This window comes from Homo sapiens, chromosome 1 (genome assembly GCF_000001405.40).
Source record: "Homo sapiens chromosome 1, GRCh38.p14 Primary Assembly".
NCBI lineage: Eukaryota > Metazoa > Chordata > Mammalia > Primates > Hominidae > Homo > Homo sapiens.
The window spans coordinates 206,180,489-206,206,931 of record NC_000001.11 but is presented as its reverse complement, the minus strand read 5'-3'; the positions used below and the strand labels follow the sequence as shown (position 1 = coordinate 206,206,931).

The window sequence follows — 26,443 nt, the reverse complement described above, 5'->3', positions numbered from 1 at the left end:
TGCTGGTTTAAAAAACGCTATCTGAGTAAGGGCTCTTATTCATGAGTCAAGTCAGTCGACTAGATGAGAAGACAGGTCACTTGGTTTCTCCTAGTCCACATTTTGCTTTACCCTTCACATTTTTCAGGAGAGGGAAATGGGGCTTTAAAAGCATGTCTTCCGGAGCAGAGGGCCACAGCACAGAAGGGTTAAACAATTATGTCTTCCCATTTTCCAGAATCAGCACCAACCGGCTACCCTAACATCCTCCCAACTCTATTCAGATTTAGGTGAGGGCGGAGACCGGGCGTGGGTGGCCTTATTCTCTGATCTCTGATTGTATGCAGGCCGACCAGAGACCAGGCAGGTACAAGGTACACCCAAGGTGGCAATGGACTTTTGGTGCCAATGCCATTGCAAATCTCATGTTTTAATATAGTGCATCCGAAAAACCCCGCCTCTCCCAAGGCTCTCCAAATGGTACACCTTCCCAAGGTTGCCTTTCTGTCTGGACTCCTCTTCAATCTCTGAAACAAATGTCCAAACACCTGTCAGATTTCAGTTGTCTTTCAAGGAAACCTGACCCAGAGAACCGGAGGCAAACTGCCTTTCTCTAAGAGCCTCCTGCCCCTCCCCCCACCCTGTCCGGCTTGGGGGGGAAAGGGCTGCCAAAATCATGGTCAGCCCCACAAAGATACTCCTACAGCCCACTGCAAAAATTCCTTTCCAGTGTCAATGGCCCCCTGGCATTGCCCATCCTTTGGAGGTTCAGACCCATCTATGAAACCACCTCTGGGGTCAGCCTGCCCCCATCTGCTCCACCCAAAGAAATGAACAACCTGCAAATCACGGTGGAAATACACGCCTCACCAGTCCACAGAGCATTTGCAGTGTGCTATTTTTCAAAGCCCTTACCTTTGACCTGAGTATCGTACTCTGCTATGATCTCCTTATCCTTTTTGAATTTGGCTGGAGACGTCATGTTTTCCTTCTTTCTTCCAAATTCGAATTGTGAATTGATAGATCCACGGAAAAAATCCAACCACCTAAATCAATACCTCCAAGACCGCTTCTCTCGAGGGCAGAAGGGGCCCCCCACGGTGGTCTCCAGCGCTCCGTGGAGCGCGGGCTGCGGGCTGGGCAGACGGCTACGGCGGGCACATGCAGACGGTGGGCGCTGGGGCCGGGTGCGGCGGCGGCTGGTGCCTGTGCTAGAGCCGGAGCCGCAGCCTCAGCATTAGCCGGGAGAACTGCAGCGCCCGGAGGCTGGCCTGGGGTCTGACATCAACGACACAGGCGGGGAGTGGAAGTCCTTCCGCACAACATGGTGTGGGGCTGCGGGGGTGTGGACGCGCCCAGCTGTGTCCCCGGGAGGGAGTGGGTGCTTTTCGGGGTGCCGGGGGAGGGCTGGGCGTGCTTCGCGGTTTTTTGTCGTAGAGGCTCAAAGATGCTGCAAATCAAATCCCAAACGGGAGCCGCAACAGCGCAGACTGGATCGGAAGTCGTTTGCTCCGGTTCACTTGCCTGTAAATGCAGGAAAAGGGGGAGGGGGCGATCAGCCAGAGCGCAGATCCTAATCGCGGCGGGGGTGGGGTAGGGGACGTCGTTCCGAGCCCGCCCTGGGCCCATTCCTGTCCGCTTAACGTCTCCCCGCCCGCAGAGCCTGGCGCTACGAGGTGGGGAGGAAGGAAGCTCCCTCCGGATTTTAAGGCTGAAAGAAAACACTTTGGAGCAGCCGCCTGCGCGGGCTCCGGGCGGGGACTGCAGGAACGCGGGGCACCAGGCGGGGACTGCGGCACCTCGGCGGCCTCCTGAGCCCCGCCAGCGCTGGGCAGCGGCCAGCCCGAGGGAGCCCTCCCGACCTAGCCCCCGACGTGGCCCCAGACCCCCGGCCGGGGCACCTCCCTGTACATCAAAGGGGATCAAAGCCGGGGAGGGATAAGCCACCAGGGCACAACTTTTCTTCCTCTCCCGCCCCTCCTCCCAGTTGTTTTGTTTTTGGTTACTAGCTTCTCTTGGCAGCAAAATGTTGATGGGGGGGGGGGCAAATCTGCAGGAAAAAGCCTGCTCGGCACGGGACACATCCAGGAAAACAATGTGGTCAGCTGAAGCAGGAAACGGGTTAGAGGATAGGGTCGGAGCCGGGAAAACCGGGGGGCGGCGAGCGGAAGGCAGCCGTCGCCTCCCTCAAGCTAGGGACGATAGTGACTATAAATGCCACCCCCAATATTTTTTTGACACCCAAGCTCAGAGATCCCAGATATCCCACCCAATCCCAGGCTGGGGATGGGAGGAGGTCGGTGAGGTCGCAGTCCTGACTCCTCGCACCAGGCGGTGCCCGAGAAGATCCGGCCCCGGACGAGGCCCAGGGGGCTGGAGGGACGCAAGCGGGAGCGCGGAGCCCGGCGACTAGCTCCCTCGCGTGCCGCAGCGGCGACCCTTTCTACTTGGTCTTTCCTTTTCCTCCGAGCGCCGGGAGGAGGAAGCTCCCGCTAGCGTCTCCCACTTCCCGCGGCTGGAGGAAGGGGCCACGCTGAGGGAACAAGACAGGGAGCAGAGGCGGCGGGGTTCAGGCGAGCGGGAAGCGGGAAGCGAGAGGCGGGTGTGAGATGGGGTCCTGAGGCTGGAAGGGAGCCCGGGGACAATTGGAGTTGCACACGCTCGGAAGGCGGGAGGCGGCAAGGAGAAGGCTGCCTTAGAGGTGAGGGGAATTGGGGCATGATCATGGGCCGCGATGTTGCGTGAAGCGCAAGGATGTCAGGAACTGTGGGGGCCGAGATGTGGTCTAGGGATGGGAGTGGGCGAAGAGAAGTCCATCGGGGCGGGCCGGGGGGTGGGACTCGGGGAGAGCCCCGGAAGCTGCGCGGAACACCCATCCTCCTGGGTCCTAGGCTGGGACCCGGGCTGTCCGCCAGGGCTGGGAGACACTGGAGGAGGCCGGCCGATGATTACGCGCGATGCCAACGACGACTGCCCTACGGTGGACCGCGGCTGCCCGTGTGCGGAGGAAAGGGAGAGGCGGCTGGGTGCCGGCTGCGCTGCGGTCCGTGAGCCAGGACGGAGTCCCAGGCTGTACAGTGATGGGCGGAGAGACTCGCAGTCCTGAGAAGTATTATGGGCTGTACTGGGAGATTTGGAGAGGGTGGAGGGGGGGCGGTCTGAGGGATTCCGGGCGGCACCGCTAAGGCGATGCCGCGAGCAGCATCCGCGCCCTCTCCTTCCCGCCCCAGCCCCGGTTTGTTCAGTCAGGGCTCCAGCCCGGCGGCCGGGAGGAAGAAAAGGAAGAGGGAAGGAGCCTTTACCTGGCTCTGACGCGACGGGTCCCAGGCCCCCGGCTCCGCTTCCCACTCAGAGCTCTCCTCCCCTCTCTTCCCCGCCACCCGTTTCTACGCAGATCGGTGCCCCAGTCCCTGGAGGAGCCTCCGCCAACTCCGCAGGACCCCGCCGGGAAGTAGAGCCCACCCCTTTACCAATCACCGCCCGTTTTCTATCGACCGATGGGGCCCATAGCCAATAGGAAGAGCTGATCCCGAGAGGCCCGGAATGAGGGGGAGGAGCTGGCAAAACTTGGAGGTGTGACTAGCACTGCCGAGGCGTGGTCACAGATTAAGCTCCACCCCGGGTTGTTGAACCCCTAAGTAGAACTGATGGGCGGGATTAAGGTGGAACCGACGACCAAACACAAACTCTTGAGCTAAGGCACGGCCAATTGGGCCGGGGTAGAGAGGAGGGGTGTTGCGGGGAGTTTTAACCAATAAAGAGTAGAGACCGGTGGAGACTGTAGAACCTCTTCCAATAAGAAGCGGGAAGGGCGTGCCTTGCCACTTTCACTAGGGCGAAGGCAGGGTTTGCCGAAACCTCCCGAAGCCGGCCAATGAGATCGGAGGCGGAGCCAAGCTCAGCCAACCAGAAAGCCGAATTGATCTCAGCACCGTTACTGGGGCGGTGCCTACGGTCTTCAAGCCACTAAGCTCTCGTGAGGGGAGGCCCCGGAGCCTTCCAATGAGGGACTGGGGCTAACTCTAGTTCTTCCAATCGGTGCGCGGCGCTGGCAATTCAAACTGATACCGGGTTGGAGAGGCAGGAAAAGCGGAAGAGGGAGCGAAAACCAACGTGTTCGGTGACAGACCCCAGCGCCGACTGAGCCTCTAAAGCGACTTCAGCTCTGCCCCACCAACACCACCGCGCGCCCGGGAACAGCCGCTCCGGGAAGAAACCTGAGGGGACTGCGGGGGGCACGAGGGACAGCTGAGGGAAGGGAGGACGCGAGAGAAACAGCGCGAGCACGCTGAGGGCCGGGGGTTGCCAGGAGAGGGGCCCGCGGACCCGCAGAGCGGAGGAAGGTCCGGGAGAAAAGGGGCGGGACGGAGGAGAATCCGGGATCGCCTGGCAGAAAAAGAGAAGGGAGTTTCTGAATCCTGGGAAGAGGAGGCGTGGGTAGGGACGCTTAGCCCGAGATCCGACAGCAGGGAACCGGAGCGCTCCGGGGGAGGGGCTTAATGCTGGGGAAGGGATGTCTTAAAAGAGGAGAAGCTTTAAATTAGACGATCGGAGAAGGCTGAGGGAATTGCTATGAAGGGGCGGGAGCTGAAGTGTAGAGGACTCCTTTAGACAGCAGAAAGGGAAAGCCGTTGAGAAGTTCCCTTCAAACTCCACCTGCCTCCTCTCCAATTCAAACTCCACTCCCTTCTCCAAAAGTTAAAAGGAAAGCCAAGTTTGCCACGCTCCCCTGTTCCTACTCAATAAATACTTCTTCTACTCCGCCACCGGGAAAACAGAAAAAAAAACTAATTTCCTTCCCAATATTAGGACTTAGAAAAGCTCTAGGTCCCGCAATTTGAATTTTAGCCTAGGGGAATCAAAATAGTAGGAGCATTACTCTTGTTTCCTTTTTCAAAATCCCACACCTCATCCTTCCTGCGACGCCATGTCTACCAACATTTGTAGTTTCAAGGACAGGTGCGTGTCCATCCTGTGTTGCAAATTCTGTAAACAAGTGCTCAGCTCTAGGGGAATGAAGGCTGTTTTGCTGGCTGATACTGAAATAGACCTTTTCTCTACAGACATCCCTCCTACCAAGTAAGTCATGCTAGTGGCGGGCAACGGTAGCTTTTAACTAAATGGGAACACTTATGGCTTGGATCTGTGGGAGTCAACAAGGAGGTTATCATTTCGGTGTTTCAGCCACTCCCACCAGTTTGATGATCCCCTTGGAATATATCTAAGTGGGCAGACTGTCTGGACAAAGTCTGTGGTTTAGCCAAGGTGGTCAGTCCTGATGTAATGCTTCTAGTTCAATTGCAGTCATGCGACCACACATCTCTTAAGTTTGATCCCTGGTTCAGTGCCCTGCCCAACCATCCTATTTCACTGAATCAAGTCCGTGGCGTAGACTTTAGGTAAATTCAGGCAAAATTTTCCGTACTGTTGGAGAGGAGAGGTCATTTAAGTTTTTCATTTTTATCCATGAAATTTTGCACCAAAAAAAAAAAAATCCGTTTTCTATCATTATTTGCAATTGGCATCCTAAATCAGATCCGTTGTTCATCAAATTCAGTTTTCTTTCCTCAAAACTCTCTCTCTCTGAAAGAGATGTAAATAGATTTTTATGGGATGAAAAATAGAGACTTAGCCTTAATCCTTATCTCCAATAAAGACTATTTTGGACATTACACATTTGTTCCCATAATTGAACCCTTTTAAAATCTGTTTGTTTTCAGCCACTAACTGCTTTTGGGTGTAGAGTCCTTAAGAATTTGCTTCCTATTTGGTAAAATAGCCATTTTATTTGACTCAAATAAACCTCTTTCTAGCTCTAAATGGTACTTTCCCTTTCCATAATCAACATATATATGCCCTACATGAATCTTCAAAATTTAGTTATTTATTGAAATTTTATTATTAAAAGGAAAGTAATTATCCAAAATATGAGTGGACAGTTATTCTCTAAGTCTTTGGATATAGAGCCAGAGGAAGCAGGTTAATAACCACAATTCATTTTAAATGAATTTCATGATAATGATAGAAACTTTACAAGTTTTTTGATTTACCCAGGTAAAGCTGTGTACTCTTCCTTTCTTGAAATCTTTTCTGAATTGGTCTAAGTGTAATCATGTCTAACAGCAAAGCCAAAGGCTCTCATTTATTGCAGAGATAAATGTGTTATTTTAAAATCTTTTTAATTTTTTTAAATTCTAAGTTAATATTTTACATTTGTGTGTGTGTACATCGTATATGTATTTCAAAAAAGGGAAAACACTAGAAAATAAATCATAGAACCTACTGCTACAAAGTTCTGTGATTCATTGTCCACTGCTTTTTCTTTTTAGTAGCTCATACACAAATTTAAAATATTAACCCATTCATCTTTGCAATAGCTATGGTAAGTAATAGGGCAGTCATAAGGAAGGCTAGGTGAATTGTTACAGGTTAGACCCAAGTCTAGAATAGAATCATGTTTTTCCCATTTTCTACCCTTCTTTGTAGGGGTTAAAATAATAATGAATTAGCGTGCTAAGATGTATGTGAATCAATGAACACATAAAAATTTTTTTAATGGAAAATTTGTCAGATGTTTATGTTGAGCTCACAAATATGAACTGACTCTTTAAAAATATACTATAGTTCTATGTTAGCTTTCAGCTCTTTGGATTGACAAAATTTGTGCTAAATCAAGCGTAGAATTACTATCTGATCCAGCAGTTCTGGGTACATATCCAAAATAATTCAAAACTGGATCTTGGAAGAGATATTTGCACACCCATGTTCATTAACAGCATTATTCACAATAGCCAAGAGGTGGAAGCAATCCAAATGTCCATTGATTCTACAGATGAACAGATAAACAAAATGTGGTATAGGGCGCCTATAGTTCCACCTACTCAGGAAACTCTGGTAGGAGGGTCACTTGAACCCAGGAGATTCATTACACAGCAATGTGATTATATTTAGCACATCTGCTCTGCACACATAAAACTTGTTAAGTTGGTAAATTTTGTTAATTTTTTGCCACAATTAAATTTTTTGTAAAGTACATCTGACTGTCTTTTTATACCTTTCTCTCTCCAGCGCAGTGGACTTCACTGGAAGATGCTATTTCACCAAAATCTGCAAATGTAAACTGAAGGACATCGCATGTTTAAAATGGTAATTTGTGGCACTATTCTGGATAGCTCTGGGTTTGGAAGATGGATATTGACACCAAAGCATAGAGAAAGGTTCAGTGGGCTGCAACAAGGACTGGTATAAAGCATGCAATGAGCCATTGAAAAATTACTTATTACTTAGAGCTATTTTTTAAAAGGGTTTTCTGATGCTTCACATTAGTATATAATTTTACAGTTTTCAAAGTGTATTCACAGTATCCGCTTCAATTTTCAGAACAAGGCAATGTAGGTTAGGGGGGAGAAACACCTGGATTTACAATAATAAAAATCATGTTTGAGGTCTGACCCTACCCTTACTCTCTATGTGATCTTGAGTGAACTCCTTTAGCCTCTAAACTGCTGAACCTCTGTTTTCTTATTTAATTTCTAGGTTATTACTCCTTCTTTCTTTGTTTTTAGAGGGGTCTCATACTGTTGCTCAGGCTGGAGTGCAGTGGCATGATCATAGCTCACTGTAGCCTTGAACTCCTGGGCTCAAGTGATTCTCCTACCTCAGCCTCCTGAGTAGCTGGGACTACAGGCAGGCACCACCAGACCTGGCTAAGTTTTTTATTTTTGTAGCAATAGGGTCTTGCTATGTTGCCCAGGCTGATCTCAAACTCCTGGCCTCAAGTGATCCTCTCTCCTCAGCTTCCCAAAAGGCTGGGATTACAGGTATGAGCCACTGCATCCTACCTTAATTTCTTTCTTTCTTTCTTTTTTTGAGAAGGAGTTTTTGCTCTTGTTGCCAAGGCTGGAGTGCAATGGCGCGATCTAAGCTCACCACAACCTCCACCTCCCAGGTTCAAGTGATTCTCCTGCCTCAGCCTCCTGAGTGGCTGGGATTACATGCACGCACCACCATGCCCAGCTAATTTTTTTTTTTTTTTTTTTTTTTTTAGTAGAGACAGGATTTCTCCATGTTGGTCAGGCTGCTCTTGAACTCCCAACCTCAGGTGATCCGCCTGCCTCGGCCTGCCAAAGTGCTGGGATTACAGGCATGAGCCACCCCACCCAGCCATTCTGTCTTATTAAGATAGAAATTTAATAATCTTCTGTGTTTACCTTATCAAGTTATTATAAAGAGCAAATATGAATGTTAAAGTGCTCAATAAACTATAAATTACAACAGCTGAGAGCTATTACTATAATCTTTTGAGTAGACGTGTTATTATTTTCATTTTAGGAGGATAAAAGTTGAAATTTTCTCATTTAGATGGGGTTTGTATTTAGAAGGGGTTTGTATTATAAATGACAATCCTAATAATTTAAATTGGCAAGCTCTTCTTATGTGCTATTTGATTTCATTCCTTTATTTAAGCTATACTTGTATTGAGGAACTAGTATGTGGTAGTCATTGTTACAAGGGCTGGAAATACAACAAAAACTAGATGAAGTCACTGGCCTTTGGACATTATTTTCTTCTTTCTTTTTTTTTTTTTTTAAGACGGAGTTTTGCTCTGTCACCCAGGCTAGAGTGCAGTGGCACGATCTCAGCTTACTGCAACCTCCGCCTCCCAGGTTCAAGCGAATCTCCTGCCTCAGCCTCCTGAGTAGCTGAGACTACAGGCACGCACCACCATGCCCAGCTAATTTTTCATATTTTAGTAGAGACAGGGTTTCACCGTGTTGCCCAGGCTGCTCTCAAACTCCTGAGCTCAGGCAGTCCGCCTGCCTTGGCCTCCCTAAGTGCTAGGATTACAGGCGTGAGCCACCGCACCCAGCCCACCCAGCTAATTTTTGTATTTTTAGTAGAGACGGGATTTCGCCATGTTAGCCAGGCTGGTCTCAAACTCCTGACCTCAAGTGATCCACCTGCCTCGGCCTCCCAAAGTGTGAGATTACAGGTGTGAGCCACCGCACCTGGGCAACGACATTTTTTTTGTTTTGTTTTGAGACGGAGTCTTGCTCTGTTGCCCAGGCTGGAGTGCAATGGCATGATCTCGGCTCACTGCAACCTCCGTCTTCTGGGTTCAAGTGATTCTCTCACCTCTGCCTCCCGAGTAGCTGGGACTACAGGCACGTGCCACCATGCCCAGTTAATTTTCGTATTTTTAGTAGAGGTGGGGTTTCGCCATGTTGGCCAGGCTGGTCTCGAACTCCTGACCTCAAGTGATCCACCCGCCTCAGCCTCCCAAAGTGCTGGGATTACAGGCATGAGCCACCGCACCCGAAGAACAACATTTTCAAAAGAAAACCAAAACAGGAAAGTTAATTTTAATCATATATTTTGTCTAACCCAATGTATCCAAAATATTATTTCAACATGTAACCAACATAAACTACTAATGTAATATTTTATATTCCATTTTTTGGTCTTACTCTTTGAAATCTGGTGTACATTTTACACTTAACAGCACATCTCAATTCAGGCCAGCCCCACTGCAAGTGTACAACAGCCACATGTGGCTAGTGGCTATTATTCTTGACAGCATAGATCTGGACCTTGGTATGGAAAGGTTTTTATTTTCATTTTTGGCTATTGAAGAGGTTTTAACCAGGGAGCAGAATGATCTGATGTAGCCTCGCTAGACTGTTAGCTCCGTGAGAACAAGGGCTTTGTTTTGTTTACCAGTGTATTCCTAGCACCTAGAGCAGTGCCTGAAAGATAGTAGATACTCAATAAATGTTAGTTTAAGTGATGAATCAATGGATGAATGAATGAATATAGGCGGTAATTAAAGTCATGGAATTTACTTTTGCAATATAGTCTTACAAATAACTGGCACTCCTAGTCCAAACACAACTTTTGTTTTCATTTGTTTGCCTTTCAAGCAAGTTATAATTAGAAGACATATTTTAGGTGGAATGGTACCTTTTATAGTAATCTTTATTGGGTCTCATAAAAATGACTGACTCACAAATCTCACAGAGTAAGACTAAGCTTGAATAAGAATTTTTACAACTCAAGGTATAAACAGTTCATGTTGCTATTTTTTTTAAAGTACTAGCTAAAACATTCCCTGTAGGTTCACTCTATTTAATATGTGACTAGCTAGTTAAAAAAAAAAAAAAAATTGTGAAAGACTGAGGTACTTATAATCAGCTGGATAATTCTGAAAACTGTAAAAACTTTTGCAACTTTCTCTGGAGGCTGTAGATTGCTTTATTTCTGAGTTCCTTCAAAAACACTGAGACTAAAATTAGAGCAGCCAGATTGTATTTGGTTTACAGGGACTCATGCTGTCTTCCTACCTCTCCATCTGTTGAAACAGTTTTTAGGTGCTGGCATGAAACTAGAACATGTAAGAACCCAACTTGCCACAGTCCTGGGATAGCAAAAACCTTTACCCACAGAACTGAGTTAATTTAATTTATTTTGTCTGTACAGCACATCAATTTGGGTGGTTTATAAAACAAATCACAACATTATGGCATCTAGAAGCTAACTTCTGAAGGGAGAATGCATAAAATAATACTAGCAGGACAAGCATGGTGGCTCATGCCTGTAATCCCAGCACTTTGGGAGGCCAAGGCAGGTGGATCACCTGAGGTCAGGAGTTCGAGACCAGCCTGGCCAACATGGTAAAACCCCATCTCTACTAATAACACAAAAGTTAGCTGGGCATGGTGGCACACGCCTGTAATCCCAGCTATTCTGGAGGCTGAGGCAGGAGAATCACTTGAACCTGGGAGGCGGAGGTTGCAGGCACTCCAGCCTGGGTGACAAGAGCAAAACTCGGTCTCAATAATAATAATAATAATAATAATAATAGCAAAGAAATGTGAGAATATTTTACTATTATTCACTTAAAGACTGCTTTCCCACTTGATGGTAGAACTGCACCCCCATCCCATCCCAAAGATCTCAGCAATGAAAGTTGTTAGGAAATGAGATCTAAATTATATGGTCTATTTATATAAGCAATATGAAAAGACTTATCTGGCTAGTTATTACATGGTATCTAGTAACATTTACTTTCTTTTCTAGTGGGAACATTGTAGGTTATCATGTGATTGTTCCATGTAGTTCCTGTCTTCTTTCCTGCAACAACGGACACTTCTGGATGTTTCACAGCCAGGCAGTTTATGATATTAACAGACTAGACTCCACAGGTAAGAAACAATTGACTTGGACATTCCTGTAACATTTCTCTATCAATACCTGAGTAAAATTCCCAATAGATCATTTCAGGATTCCTTTTAGATCTTCTTAGCTGGATTAGCTAGAGTGAAACTTCAATTCTTTTTTCCCAGACATTCACTTATGAAAACTATTAGGCAAAATTCATTGTCATTTCTATGTTCATCCTTGTACTTAAGGCCTCAAACTTGGCTGAATTTCTTGGTCTTTTAAAATGAATATTATAATTGCTCTTAACTGCTGCCTTGATACATATTCTGACTCCAGAGAATTTTTGAAGATTTTAGATTTGATAGTCTAATGCATGTGTGTGTCTGTGTGTGTGTGTAAGAAAGGGAGAGGCCAGGCCTAGGGCAATGGGAGTTGAGAGGAGGAGGACTAAGTAACCTCTGTATTTGGTGATGCTTCAGAATAAAAACAGACATTTCGACATCTATGTTAATACGTTATGACAGAATTTTAGTCAAGGGAAATATTTGACACCAAAGTATAAAGTATGTTGTACAGGCACAAGTGGAGATATTGTAGGTTCAATTCCAGACCACCATAATAAAGCAAGCAAATATCACAATTAAAGCAAGTCACACAATTTTTTGGTTTCCCAGTGTGTATAAAAGTTATGTTTACAATATATTGTAGTCTATTAAGTGTGCAATAGCAGGACATTTAAAAAACAATGTGCATACCTTAATCAAAAAATACTTATTCGGCCGAGAGCAGTGGCTCATGCCTGTAATCCCAGCACTTTGGTAGTCCAAGGCGGGAGGATCACTTGAGCCCAGGAGTTTGAGACCAGCCTGGGCAGCATGCTGAGACCTCATCTCTACAAAAAAAATACAAAAATTATCCAGGCATCGTGGGGCATACTATCGTCCCAGCTACCCAGGAGGCTGAGGTGGGAGGATCACTTGAATTTGGGAGGTAGAGGCTGCAGTGAGCTGTGATCATGCCAGTGCATTTCAGCCTGGGCAACAATATGAGACCCTGTCTCAAAAAAGAAAAAAAAATGCTTTATTGCTAAAAACTGCTAATGATCATCTGAACCTTCAGCAAGTCATAATCTTTTTGCTGGTGGAGGGTCTTGCCTTGATGTTGATGACTGCAAACTGATCAGGGTGGTGGTTGCTGGAGGTTAGGATGGCTGTGGCAGTTTCTTAAAATAAGACAACAATGAGGTTTGCCGCATGGATTGACTCTTCCTTTCACAAAAGATTTCTCTGTAGCATGTGATGCTATTTGATAGAATTTTACACATAGTAGAACCTCTTTCAAAATTGGAGTCAATCCTCTCAAATTCTGCTACTACTTTACCAACTATGTTTATGTAATATTCTAAATCCTTTGTTTTCATTTCAACAATATTTACAGCATCTTCATCAAGAGTAGATTTCACCTCAAGAAACCGTTTTCTTTGCTCATCCATAAAAAGCAACTCTTCATCCATTAAAGTTTCATCATGAGATTGCAGCAATGCAGTCACGTCTTCAGGCTCCATTTCTAAGTGTAGTTTTCTTGCTATTTCTACCACATCTGCAGTTACTTCCTCCACTGAGGTCTAAAACCTCTCAAAGTTACCCATGAGGGTTGGAATCAACTTCTTTCAAACTCCTGTTAAGACTGATATTTTGACCTCCTCCCATGAATCAGGAATGTGCTTTTCCAGGTTTTCAATGTACTTTGCCCAGATCCATCAGAAGAATTACTATCTATGGCAGCTATAGCCTTATGAAATCTATCTCTTAAATAATAAGACTTGAAAGATTAAATTACTTCTTGATCCATGGGCTGCCAAATAGATGTTATGTTAAGGCATTAAAGCAATATTTATCTCCTTGTACAATGCCATCAGAGCTCTTGAGTGACTAGGTGCATTGTCAATGAACAGTAATATTTTCAAAGGGATTTTTCTGAGCAGTAGGTCTTAACAATGGGCTTAAAATAGTTAGTAAAACATGCTGTAAACAGATTTGCTGTCGTCCAGGCTTTGTTGTTTCATTGACAGCGCACAGGCAAAGTATATTTGGCATAATTCCTAAGAACCCTAGAAATTTCGGAACGGTAAATGAGCATTGGATTCAACTTAAAGTCACCAGCTGCATTATCCTCTAACAAGAGATTCAGCCTATCCTTTGAAGCTTTGAAGCCAAGTATTACTTCTCCTCTCTAGCTATGAAAGTCCTAGATGGCATCTCCTTCCAATAGAAGGCTGTTTTGTGTATATTAAAAATCTCTGCCGGACGCAGTGGTTCACGCCTATAATCCCAGGACTTTGGGAGGCCGAGGTGGATGGATCACCTGAGGTCAGGAGTTTAAGACCAGCCTGACCAATATAGTAGAACTCTGCCTCTACTAAAAATAAAAAATTAGCTGGGCGTGGTGGTACATGCCCAGCTACTTGGGGGACTGAGGCAGAAGAATCACTTGAACCCAGGAGGTGGAGTTTGAAGTGAGCCGAGATCGCACCATTGCACCAAGAGTGAAACTCCATCTGAAAAAAAAAAAGGAATAAGAGGCCGGGCGCGGTGGCTCACGCCTGTAATCCCAGCAGTTTGGGAGGCCGAGGCGGGCAGATCACCTGAGGTTGGGAGTTCGAGACCAGCCTGACCAACATGGAGAAACCCCGTCTCTACTAAAAATACAAAATTAGCTGGGCATGGTGGCGCATGCCTATAATCCCAGCTACTTGGGAGGCTAAGGCAGGAGAATGGCTTGAACCCGGGAGGCGGAGGTTGCGGTGAGCCAAGATCATGCCATTGCACTCCAGCCTGGGCAACAAAAGTGAAACTCCATCTCAAAAAAAAAAAAAGAAAAGAAAAGAAAAGAAAAATCTGTTGTTTAGTGTAGCCACCTTCATCCATAATCTTAGCTAGATCTTCTGGATAACTTGCTGCAGCTTCTACATCTGCACTTTTTGCTTCACCTGAACTTGTATGTTATAGAAATGGCTTCTTTCCTTAAACTTTATAAACCAACCTCTGCTAGCTTCAAACTTTCTTCTACAGTTTCCTCAACTTTCTTGCCCTTCATAGAATTGCAGAGAGTTAAGACCTAGCTCTGGATTAGGTTTTCGCTTAAGAGAATATCATGGCTGGTTTAATCCTCTATCTAGGTCACTAAAACTTTCTCCATATCAGCAATAAGGCTATTTCACTTTTTTATTCTTGTTTTCACTGGAGTAGCACTTCTTATGTCCTTTAAGAACTTTTCTTTGCAGTCACAAGTTGGCTAACAATTGGGCATAAAAGGCCCAACTTTCAGCCTGTCTCAGCTTTCAATATGTCTTCCTCACTATGCTTAATCATTTCTAGCTTTTGATTTACAGTGAGAGACATGCCACTCTCTTTCACTTGAACACTTAGAGGTCATTGTAGGGATATTAACTGGCCCAATTTCAATATTGTTGTATCTTAGGAAATAGGGAGGCCCCAGGAAAGAGAGAGAGAACAGCTGGTCAGTGGAGCAGTCAGAACACACAAAATATTTATCGATTAAGTTTGCAGTCTTAAGTGGGTGTGGTCTTAAGTGGGTGTGGTTCATAGCACCCTGAAACAATTATAACAGTAACATCAAAGATCACAGATCACCATAATATATATAATAATAATGAAAAAGGTTGAAATATTGAGAGAATTATCAAAATGTAACAGACACAAGGTAAGCATATGCTGTTAGACTTACTCAATGCAGGATTGCCAAAACCTTCCATTTATATAAAGCCCAGTATCTATGGTGTACAATAAACTAAAGCACAATTGAGGTATGCCTATACTAATTATTTTAGCAAGGCCAGGCATGGTGGCTCACACCTGTAATCCCACACTTTGGGAGGCCAAGACCAATGATCACTTGAGGTCAGGGGTTCGAGACCAGCCTGGCCAATATGATGAAACCCCCCTTGAACCTGGGAGGTGGAGGTTGCAGTAAGCCGAGGTGGCACCGCTGCACTCCAGCCTGGGCAACAGAGTGAGACCCTGTCTCAAAAAAAAAAAAAAAAAAAAATAATATTTTAGTAAGAAAGTACACTACCAATTCTTTTAAAAAAAAAAAAATTTCTTTTTCCTTGTGTTAAGGTGCTGAGGCACTGAAATACTAATTCTTTTTTTTTTTTTTTGAGACAGAGTTTCACTCTTGTTTCCCAGGCTGATGTGCAATGGTGTCATCTTGGCTCATGGCAGCCTCTGCCTCCCAGGTTCAAGCGATTCTCATGCCTCAGCCTCCCGAGTAGCGAGATTACAGGCATACGCCCAGCTAATTTTTTTGTATTTTTAGTAGAGACAGGGTTTCACCATGTTGGTCAGGCTGGTCTTGAACACCTGACCTCAGGGGATCCGCCTGCCTCAGCCTCCCAAAGTGCTGGGATTACATGGGATTACAGACGTGAGTCACCATGCCTGGCCTGAAGTACCTTTTTTTTTTTTTTTTTTTGAGATGGAGTCATTCTGTCACCCAGGCTGGAGAGCAGTGGCGTGATCTCGGCTCACCGCAACCTCCACCTCCCGGGTTCAAGTGATTCTCCTGCCTCAGCCTTCTGAGTGGCTGGGATTATAGGTGCGCACCACTACACCTGGCTAATTTTTGTATTTTTAGTAGGGACGGGGTTTTGCCATGTTGCCCAGGCTGGTCTCGACCTCCTGACCTCAGGTGATCCGCCCACCTCAGCCTCCCAAAGTGCTGGGATTACAGGTGTGAGCCACTGCACCGGCCAAAGTACCAATTTTTAAAGGGGATTTATATAATACTTTTTATATTGCCTGGAGCCATTGAGTTTTGTTATAAGACACATGTTCTCCGTGTCTAACATCTATTTACACAACAGACCAAGTTGATTTTAAGGAACTTTTTTTTTTTTTTTGGAGACAGGGTCTTGCTCTGTCACCCAGGCTGGAGTGTGGTGGCACAATCTTGGCTCACTGCAGCCTCGACCTCCCAGGCTCAAGCCATTCTTCCACCTCAGCCTTCTCAATAGGTGGGACCACAGGTGTGTGCCACCATCCCTGTCTAATTTTTTGTATTTTTCGTAGAGACCAGTTTTTGCCATTTTGCCCAGGCTGGTCTCGAACTCCTGTCCTCAAGTGATCTGCCCACCTTGGCCTCCAAAGGGCTGGGATTACAGGCCTGAGACACCTCGCCAGCTGACTTTAAGTAACTTGACAATCTAAGTTGACACTAGCATTCTTAGGTTCCTAAATGCAAGTTTTAGTCTCCTTTAGAACTTAAATGTATTTTTTAAATATATGATTTGCCTTCACAGACCAAAAGATCACGAATTGCAAGCTAGGTTGTCAAGGGTCTTTAAATCCTCCAATTATGCTTAGATTTTTGTAGATTTGATTTTTTTATCTGGGACTCAACTGTGGCTCTCAATCTATCATTTATGGGGTCTTAATTTAAAACTTTGGTATGTTAAGAAGGCCATTTTCATGTAAGGACTTATCTGAACTCCCATAAGTGGGATACAGTCTCCTAATTTAAGCCTCCAGTTTTATATTTGTGTTGCCCATGGGACACATTAAAGGAAGTTTCTGCTTTGATAGTATTTTTCCTGCTTTACAGAATTCAAAACACAGGGTGGAGATTTTTCAAGTTTGATTTACTTTTTAATATTGGTCAATTTTTCAAAGATAAAAGCCCCGCATTCTTCCATTTGCACTGAATCTAATCCATAAGAAACAGATGTATCACAGGATTTCCTTCCTCCCTTCTTAACAGAGAAAGGAAGGTGCTGCTTCTGTCAGATCCAATCTCTTAGTTTATTTTTCCTCCTTTGAACCAATTGTGCTGAGCTGCTTCATGTCTCTGAGTACTGACTCCAAGAATATCAAGCTTCTGCTTTGTAACCCTAATATTGTGATTTCAAGCAAGATTTTCTAGATGCTTGGTATCAAAGCAAGTTTCTAATGGCGCCACAACTGTCCTTGAATCACCTGAACCAGCAGTGTCAAAGGAATGCATAGACAAGCTTTATAAATTCTATAATGTTTAAACTGAAAAGGACTCCTGGAGGTCTGTTTTCTAGGCTAGTCTTCATTTAGAGACCTGATTTCCCAGAACTTTCTGGAGGAGCCTTGGGAAACCTCAGCTCAAATTTCCTGAAATTGGCAAATGCCCTCAGAGTCAAAATGGCTTCAGCCCTCCATTTACATTTATGGGTTCTAATTTTCACTTTGATTTTTGCCTCGCAATTCCTTACAGTTCTTCCTGTCAGCTCTTCCATGACATTTACCTGGAGCAGAACACCATTCATTCTTAGGGTGGGGGTGGGGGTGGGGTAGCGTTTTCTATTATAAACAATTCAAACACAAAAAGATTATAGAAAATAATAAGATACACATCTGTATCCCTACCAGCATCAGATACATGCTAAATTCTTGCCAGATTAGATTCCAGTATCTCCCTCAGTCAAGGTAAACAGTTAATTATTTCTACTGTTTCAACAATGTCACACTACACATCCCTGTGCATGTCGCCTTGAACCACCTATGCAAGATGGGCAGCTGAGGAAGGGATGAGCAATGGGCTGTATTTGCAACATTTTTAAAAATTCACAAAATGGAATACTGTCCAGAAGTAAAAATAAATGAGCGAAATCTACACAAGTTAACATGGATTAACCTCAAAAACATGACGAGTGAAAAAGCAAATTAGAAAACAATATGTAGTGTAATAACATTCTATACAAAATTTAAATCCACTAAACAGTAATATATATTGTCTATGTTGCATGCATTTGTAGTAAAACCATGCATGGTGTACTAGCAGTGGTAAACACTGGATTCAAACCAAATCTCCAAATCCTGGCTCATTCCATTCCGCCATGTGGCTGCTATCTCAGTGTATATGGGGTGGGTATCCTGAATTGCTGGATCCTCTTTGTGTCCACACTGATAACTGGACAGCTTAAGATTTGTTTTTCTGGCCAAGTGTGGTGGCTCACATCTGTAATCCCAGCACTTTGGGAGGCCGAGGCGAGGGGGATCACCTGAGGTCAGGAGTTCAAGACCACCCTGACCAACGTGGTGAAACCCCATCTCTACTAAAAATACAAAAATTACCCAGGCATGGTGGCATTCGCCTGTAGTCCCAGCTACTCGGGAGGCTGAGGCACGAGAATCACTTGAACCTGGGAGGCAGAGGTTGCAGTGAGCCAAGATTACACCACTCGACTCCAGCCTGGGCAATAGAGCGAGACTCCGACTCAAAAAGAAAAAAAAAAAGATTTGCTTTTCTTGTGAAGTTAATTGGCTATCCTAGAGGTCAGTTATTTTCCATTTAGTGCTTTTAACTAATAATGTAATATATACCCAGAGTAATAAACTTGTCATTATCCTCTACTGTATGTTTAGTCATTTACTGTATACCTGTGCTTCATTCTTCAATATGAAATCTGACTATTCTTTCTCAGTGAAGTTTTTGATTATTCTTTTGTTTATTATAGTGACTGCTGCAACCTGGCCCTAAAGTTCAGTTTAAAGCTCTGCCTGTGGACTGAAACCCACTGGTACCAAGGATTGCAGTTCATATTATAACTGGCTCCGAACCCTTGCTTTTTTTCTGAATCAGAAAAATGGCACCAGCTACTTCTCTGCTTATTGAAGGGATGAGGAGACTTATTCAGGACTTCTCCCTGAACCCTCCAAAGAGGCATTTAATCTAAAAGGATCTTGTGAGATCTCCATTCTTAAACATCATTAAAATAGATCAGAAAATTATCAGTGTATAGTGATTATGTTATAATGCAGCTGGAGGCAGAGTTTGAGTAAATGGACTCCTGAGAGCCTTTTGAGCTGTAAAATTCTAGAATTCAAGCCCTTGCTTAAAAGGATTTAAAGAATGTTTATGTCCTAGCCCTTTAAAAAAAAGTGTTTGCCAGGCATGGTGGCTCATGCCTGTAATCCCAACAGTTTGGGAGGTCAAGGAGAGAGGATTGCTTGAGCCCAGGAGTTTGAGACTAGCCTGGGCAACATAGTGGGAACCTGTATCTACAAAATAAAATTAGCCATGTGTGGTAGTACACGCCTGTAGTCCCAGTGACTTGGGAGGCTGAGGTAGGAGGATCACTTGAGCCCTGGAGGTTCAGGCTGCAGTGATCTGTGATTGTGAACCGTGATCCTACCAGGCACTCCAGCCTGGGCAACACAGAGAGAATTTCTCTCAAAATAAATAAATAAAGTTTATGTCCTAGATGGATAATATTAGGTAATTTTATTTGCAGTACATTCTTCAATAGCTACTCTTTTTACTGCTAACACTATGGTTTACATAAGAATATTAACATATAAAGTTTCGTAATTCGTGTTCTGAGTTATAACAGTAGTAAGCATTAAAGAATTTTATGACTTTTTATTTTCAGGTGTAAACGTCCTACTTTGGGGCAACTTGCCAGAGATAGAAGAGAGTACAGATGAAGATGTGTTAAATATCTCAGCAGAGGAGTGTATTAGATAAATGGAATTATGATATATATGATATACAAACTTTTTTCTATTTAAAAATATATTAATGGATCAACTTTAAAATTGTTAGTTGCCAGTGATCTTTTTTGGAAAACAAAAATGGGGCATTTGTTGATTTATTTATTTTCCGTCTCTAATTAGTTACCTCAGTTTGATTGAAGCCAGTGAAGTTGTGCTTTTCCTCTACTTCTACTTCCTCTCCCCGACCTTTTTCTGCCCAGTGTAGGTGTATTCTTAAATTCAGACAGGGGAAGATTCTTTCACATATCACTCAGTTACCTCCCAATCTGGGGGAGTTTTTCTTACAACTTGATACCAGATACCATTAATTTTACATTCCTGAATAAAGGCCTAGTACCCACGCATATTTCAACCATGCATATATCAAGTTCAACCGAGTTTTAATAGGGGATTAAAAAAACAAGCTGTTAGGTTTCCATGGGCACTGGTTCTCATAGGTTCTATTGGTGATAACTGCTTTAACATGGAGCAAGAGTTTGTGAATCAGGAAATAGAATAAATTAAAATTTAAAATATATAGAGGAATCCTCTTGATTGCTCAGCATGATGTTAGATAAATGAGTTTGTCAGAAAATATCAGTATACGCTGTTTACCAATGTTATTTATTTACATTCTTCTAAAGCCATTATGGATATTGTATTATGAGAGCTAAACCTAAATAAGTTATCCTGTTCCCTAGGACCTTCTCTGTAAATAGTGAATTTTAGACGAGTAGTCTGTCCTAAATCTTAAATAGAAAAAAAACTAAAGCGATTTGCTTAAGCCATTGTACATTATAAAGAGCTGTTTTGTTTTGCTTTGCTTTGCTTTGTTTTGTTTTTTTAAAGCTGCATTCAGAGCCACAAAGGAATAGGAAAGTAGGGTAGTGTTGGATTCTGGTTTTATGTAACTCTAAAATAAATGTATCTCTTTAATATCTCAGTTGTAGGGATTTTGTCAATACCAAAGCAGACTGAGTTGTGGTTTTGTAAATAAAGTTTTTTCTAAAAATGACCATTCTTCCTTTAATTTTTTGTTATGCCCACATATTGTATGTAAAAATATAAATAAATAGTACTTAAAGTATAGAATATAAGGCTAATGTTTATTGAATACTTACCATATGCCAGACACTGTTCTAAGTGCTTTAGACGTTTAACTCCTCACAACAAACCTATGAGGTAGGTACCATTATTATTCCTTTTTTTTTAAACTGGTAAATCAGGTGAGACAGAGAGAAGTTAAGTAATTTGTTTAAGGTAGCATAACCGGTTAGAGGTGCTCAGACAGAAGACTGACTCCAAAAGCTCCTGCTCATATGATTTATTTATGGTCTTACTTAGCCGGGATACCTGCTGGGTAACTAACTACATTGTTATGTGCCCTAGATGAGGGCAGAAGTGACTGATTTGAAGGTTGAATAAACTCATGCAGGGTCTTAGGGTATAAGTGACCTGAGGGCATTGAAAGAATCATTTGCCACAAACCAAGATAAAAGGTGCTTCAGGAAATGCTATTACTCCCTCCTGGAAAACGTTTCCAAAAATCTTTCACACCAACCATTAACACTGACAGAAGGCCATCAAAAGAACCAATGGAATGAGTATGGAATAATTTGTTTTGCGATTTGGTTTTTTGGGTGTGTGTGTGTGTGTGTGTGTGTGTGTTGTAACCTCAAGTTCTTAGGTGAGCATAATCTATAAGAGAAAAAATATATATATACTTCTTTGGTTAACTTGCTCAACTAGAGAAGAAAAGTTTAATACTAGACTAGGAAATGTGGCAAATTTAAAATTCAATAGAGTTCATCTGGTTTCCGTTCAGCTCATGCCTTCAAAGGCTATGGTTGACCTAGGGTCTCTCTGAAAAGCAAAAGCAAGACAGAGGTGCACTGATTGAAGCAAGCCCCAAATGTGATTCTACTCCAGCTGGGGAATATTTCAAATTACTCAACTACCTTTGGTTAACTGGATTATGGGAAAGCCAATTCTAAACAGAAAGCTGATTAATAAAGTTTTATCTAAAGAAATATATTCATGACACTAGTGTGGTTTGAGGGTTTTTTGTTGTTGTTGTTGTTTTCTTTAGAGACAGGGTCTCGCTTTGTTGCCCAGGCTGGAGTGCAGTGGTGTGATCATAGCTCACTACAGCCTTGAAGTCCTGGACTCAAGCAATCCTCCTGCCTCAGCCTCCCCTGTAGCTAGGACCACAGGCATGCACCACACCTGGCTAAATGACACTGGTTTGTGGGGCTTTTTTTGTTTGTTTGTTTGTTTGTTTGTTTGTTTGTTTTTGAGAGAGGGTCTCGCTCTGTTACCCAGGCTGGAGTGCAGTGACATGATCTCAGCTCACTGCAACTTCCACCTCCAGGGTTCAAGCGATTCTCATGCCTCAGCACCCCCGAGTAGCTGGGACTACAGGCATGCACCACCATGCCTGGCTAATTTTTGTAGTTTTAGTAGAAGGAGTTTTGCCATGTTGGCCAGCCTGGTCTTGAACTCTTGGCCTCAAGTGATCCACCAGCTTCGGTCTCCCAAAGTATTCGGATTACACGCATGAGTGTGAATCCAACACTGTTTTTGGGATTTTTTTTTTTTAGATGCAGTTTCACTCTTGTTGCCCAGGCTGGACTGCAATGGTGTGATCTTGGCTCACCACAACCTCTGCCTCCCAGGTTCAAGCAATTCTCCAGCCTCAGCCTCCCAAGTAGCTGGGATTACAGGCACGTACCACCACACCCAGCTCATTTTGTATTTTTAGTAGAGATGGAGTTTCTCCATGTTGGTTAGGCTGGTCTCGAACTCCTAACCTCAGGTGGTCTCCCGCGTTGGCCTCCCAAAGTGCTGGGATTACAGGCATGAGCCACTGTGCATGGCCTGTCAACACTGTTTTTAAATAAAAGCAAATTACATTCACTCTGGTAAGACCAAAGCAGAATCACATACATGGATTTAGGATACACCTTCTACTCCTAGTATAATTCCTAGGCCTAGAAGATCCATCTATTCTTTGGTCCTCTTTTAATATTTCATTCAATTCAACACACCTGTATTATTCTCCAATAGTGTGGCAAGAATTGTACAATGACATGCTCACACTTGCCTTCAGGGAGTACACAGTAAGTTGAGGAAAGGATAGAACTCTGTGAGTCCATTTATTTCATTGGGTTAAGTGATTTAACAAAGGCATGCTTAAAGTGCTATGACTCCAGAGATGAAAGAGCAATCATTCTGAGTAGCAGGAGAAAGTGGGAGTTGAGCAAGAGAGCATAGGAATTGAGAAAGCTACTGAGAAGAAATGATACTTGAGGCAGGCTTTGAAGCAGTTAGGAGTTGCCAGCTGGGATGAGAGTTTTAAGCAGAGGGAATAGTGTAAACAAATTGACGGGAATTTAAAAGTATCTTGCTTATTTGGGAAGTTCTAAGTTGTCCCCCATACCTTCCAAGACATGTAATAAAAATTAATTCGGCCAGGCATGGTGACCCACACCTATAATACCAGCACTTTGGGAGGCTGAGGAGGAAGGATTGCTTGAGGCCAGGAGTTTGAGACCAGCCTGGGCAAGATAGTGGGAACCCATCTCTACCAAAAAATACAAAAATAAGCCCAGGGTGATGGCACAGGCTTGTAGTCCCAGGTACTTGGGAGGCTGGGGCGGGAGGATCACTTGAGCCTAGGAGGCTGAGGCTGCAGTGAGCCATGATTGGACCACTCCGCTCCAGCCTGCGTGACAGAGTGAGACCCTGTCTCAAAAGTTAAAAAATAAATAAATTTTTTTTAAAAAAAGAATTAATTACAAGGTGAAGTTAACAAGGAAGGTTATATGTTATGAAGAATATTCTACTATACGATTGTAAGTTTAGACTTGGTCCAGTAGCAATGTGGAGTTATTGAAGTTTTTAAGCAGGAGAATAAAATGATCAGATTGAGGATGATGGCTCTGATGGTAAAGTATAATCAAGTTTAGCTTTCCTAATGTCCTTTCTTTGATGCACTTAACAATTTGACCACGGAAATTAAACTTACTGCCTTTACCCTAAGAACCCATGTAGTTCTTCAAGTTCTCGGAATTTCTTGGGTTTCATGGAGCCTCTAGTCTGCAGTAGGGCATTGCCTTTTTTTTTTCCCCTTTTCCATTTTGTCATTCTTGCAGTTCAAGGAAGGGGCAGTGAGTCATCAGCTCACCCGCCATGACATTTCTGCTACTTTATCTTTCTCCTTAAGCTAGTTTCTCAACCTCAAACTTAGCCTCTGAGGAGGCATCTTGGGTGGAGCCTAATCTTAAAGACATACATTTTAAATAATCAATGGTTCTGAAAACCAGGTCCTTAAATATTAGCAATTGAGAGAGATTACCCAAAAAGAACACTCTTTTGACCTCTGAGTCACATGTGGCTGGTTAAGAATAATCTATATTGTTTAACTTTAGTGAGGAAGTGACCATGATATATAAACCATGATCTAGAAGACAACTAACCACAACACAAATACGGAGTGAGGGGAGGTAGGTGAGAATATGGATCAAATAGTCTTGATTCAGTAGTGAATTGCTCAATGAAAGCTTTCCCTATTTTAACATTCCTGCTTATAAAAGGAAATAGTTTCCTTTCCTGCCTTTTTTTTTTTTTAACTTTAAAAGCAGCCTAAACCATAGTTTCTTTCTTGCCTGGTATTGAGCGTATGCCAAATCTACCCTAAACTGCACAGATGGAAAAAATTAGTCTATGTCTGTGGTACCTCTGGGGTTGAATATTTTTAGTACCGAAATCTTTAGCTAAAGATTCCTTTTTCCAACACTCTCAAAGAATCCCTTTATTGTCATCCAATGGAAAAACTTACTGAGATAGAAATTAACTATATCATGCTTTTGTATATTCCTTTACAGTTTATTAAGAGCTTTCACATGCAGTGTCATTTACTCCTCAGAATAACCTTGGGAGCTATCATTCCCATTTTACAAATTAAGAAAGAGTCCAGGCATGGTGGCTCACGTCCGTAATCCCAACACTTTGAGAGGCTGAGGCCAGAGGATCACCCGAGGCCAGGAGTTTGAGACCAGCCTGGGCAACAAAGTGAGGCCTAGTGTCTACAAAAATTTTAAAAATTAGCCAGGTGTGGTGGCGCGTGCCTGTAGTCCAGCTACTCAGGAGGCGGAGGTGGAAGGATCACTTGAGCTGGGACATCAAGGCTGCAGTGAGCTGTGATTGTGCCACTGCATTCCAGCCTGGGTAACTAAATGAGACCCTGTCTCAAAAAATAATAATAATAAGTAAATAAATAAATGAGCAAATTAAGAAATAAAATCCTGATTGCAATACCCAGAGAGTTGGAAGAATCTGAACTTCAATCAGGCTTCTCATCTTAGTTTAGGGTTTTCTTCTACCTCCCTGACTCTAAACTGCTGTCCATTTTTCCCTCACTAGCTGTAAAACTTAGGAGAAATTTCCTTTGACTTTCAACCTCAAAGCCCAGTTATTTTTCATTAATCAGTTAGTTCAACGAATATTTATTCAGTGCCTACTATGGGCAAAATAGATGCTGGGGCTACAGAACTAAGCAAGACAGAATTGCTGCTGTCATGTGGAGCTGACTTTCTAGTTGAGGGTAAAGAAGAAAATGAGTTACCATTGATAGAGGGCTTACTGTGTGCCAGGCATTGTTCCAAGTGCTTCACATGTAACCCCTAACTGATGGATCCTATCCTCCCCATAGAGATCAGGAAACTGAGGCACAGAGAGGTTAAAGAACTTGTTCGTGGTCACCCAGCTAGCAAATGACACCACTCTAAGATTTGGAAAGCCCAGAATTAAGTAGCTTAATAACTGTGCTTTCTTTTTCTTTTTTTCCTTTCCTTTTTTTTTTTTTTTTTTTTTTTGAGATGGAGTCTTGCTCTGTTGCTCAGGCTGGAGTGCAGTGGCGTGATCTGAGCTCACTGCAACCTCCACCTCCTGAGTTCAAGCAATTCTCCTGCCTCAGCCTCCTGAGTAGCTGGGATTACAGGCACATGCCACAATGCCCGGCTAATTTTTTTGTATTTTTACTAGAGACGGGGTTTCACCATGTTGGCCCAGCTGGTCTTGAACTCCTGACCTCAAGTGATCCACCCACCTCGGCCTCCCAAAGTGCTGGGATTACAGGCATGAGCCACCGTACCCGGTTCTTTTTATTTTTCAATGCAGTTGTCTTCCATTCAAATAAATAAAACAAATAAAAATTTAAAAATTAAATACAAATAAAATGTAAAAATAAAAGTTTTCCATTAGCAATCTTCCTGTACACATCTTTTCCTATTAGAGCTTAGTTGATTTTTGTTTTAAATTGAGATGGGGACAACAACATCTCCCTTTTCAGTAAGGGAGATTTGGTTTATCTGTAAACAATAAAAATGCTAGTCTTATACACTATAGAGAAAGAAAAAAATTAGGCAAAACTCTTACTTTGCAACTTTGCTGTTCTATCTAGAAACAAAGTCTTTTTTACAAGTCCAGATTTTTATCTTACAAGCAACAAAAGTTTACAGCAGAGTAAATAAGCTCTTTAAGCTATTTGTATGTCTCAAATATTTCATAATAAAAAGTGAATTAAATGACTGCCTTTTGCAAATTGCTCTAATCTCAGCCTTCTTTATAAGCTTGTATTTAAAAATCTATTCATATGGAATTTCAGAAGCAGCCTTGCCTTAAATGAGCACTACTGAATCTTCATAACAAGATTATGTATTTGTTATGTGGAAAGCAAAAATAGGTATCAAATTCATATTCGAATTTTGCATTTTGAGACT

General features: G+C 43.3%; 2 protein-coding genes across 25 annotated transcripts in view, besides 3 other annotated features; one reads left to right on the top strand and one right to left on the bottom strand.

Annotated features, from left to right (window-relative positions):
• Positions 1 to 3,391, bottom strand: part of SRGAP2 (SLIT-ROBO Rho GTPase activating protein 2) — a 260,896-nt gene extending 257,505 nt beyond the window's left edge. For 11 of the 12 annotated variants that reach the window (XM_011509354.3, NM_001377444.1, NM_015326.5 and 8 more), the window contains exons 1-2: positions 3,282 to 3,391; positions 895 to 1,503 (exon numbers count right to left, since the gene is read on the bottom strand). In XM_011509354.3, the coding sequence (XP_011507656.1) occupies positions 895 to 961 (67 nt within the window). In that variant the 5' untranslated portion in view covers positions 962 to 1,503; positions 3,282 to 3,391. Of the gene's footprint in view, positions 1 to 894; positions 1,504 to 3,281 lie in introns of those variants that run through there. The other variant, XM_047416533.1, reaches the window with a different exon arrangement.
• Positions 1,159 to 20,753, top strand: FAM72A (family with sequence similarity 72 member A). 13 transcript variants are annotated; one of them, NM_001385240.1, is made up of 6 exons: positions 1,159 to 1,306; positions 2,871 to 3,088; positions 3,374 to 5,058; positions 7,048 to 7,125; positions 11,056 to 11,180; positions 19,559 to 20,753. In NM_001385240.1, exons 3-6 carry the CDS (start codon positions 4,907 to 4,909, stop codon positions 19,651 to 19,653), a joined length of 450 nt encoding a protein of 149 aa, NP_001372169.1. In that variant the 5' UTR covers positions 1,159 to 1,306; positions 2,871 to 3,088; positions 3,374 to 4,906; the 3' UTR covers positions 19,654 to 20,753. The 13 variants fall into 13 exon arrangements, 12 of the variants coding, with proteins under 12 accessions (NP_001372169.1, NP_001372172.1, NP_001372170.1 ...); NM_001385241.1 differs by lacking the exon at positions 1,159 to 1,306 and adding an exon at positions 2,219 to 2,680; NM_001385243.1 differs by lacking the exon at positions 3,374 to 5,058.
• Positions 2,869 to 3,589: an enhancer, noted in NCBI's record as "H3K27ac hESC enhancer chr1:206137267-206137987 (GRCh37/hg19 assembly coordinates)". NCBI's record gives its function as "activates a minimal SCP1, AML or CMV promoter by ChIP-STARR-seq in naive H9 embryonic stem cells {active_cell/tissue: H9 hESC(naive)}" and the evidence as "EXISTENCE:reporter gene assay evidence [ECO:0000049][PMID:30033119]".
• Positions 2,869 to 3,696: a biological region, named in NCBI's record as "H3K27ac hESC enhancer GRCh37_chr1:206137267-206137987".
• Positions 3,567 to 3,696: an enhancer, noted in NCBI's record as "active region_2397". NCBI's record gives its function as "activates an Ori minimal core promoter by ATAC-STARR-seq in GM12878 lymphoblastoid cells {active_cell/tissue: GM12878}" and the evidence as "EXISTENCE:reporter gene assay evidence [ECO:0000049][PMID:35858748]".
• Positions 20,754 to 26,443: the final 5,690 nt, after the last annotated feature.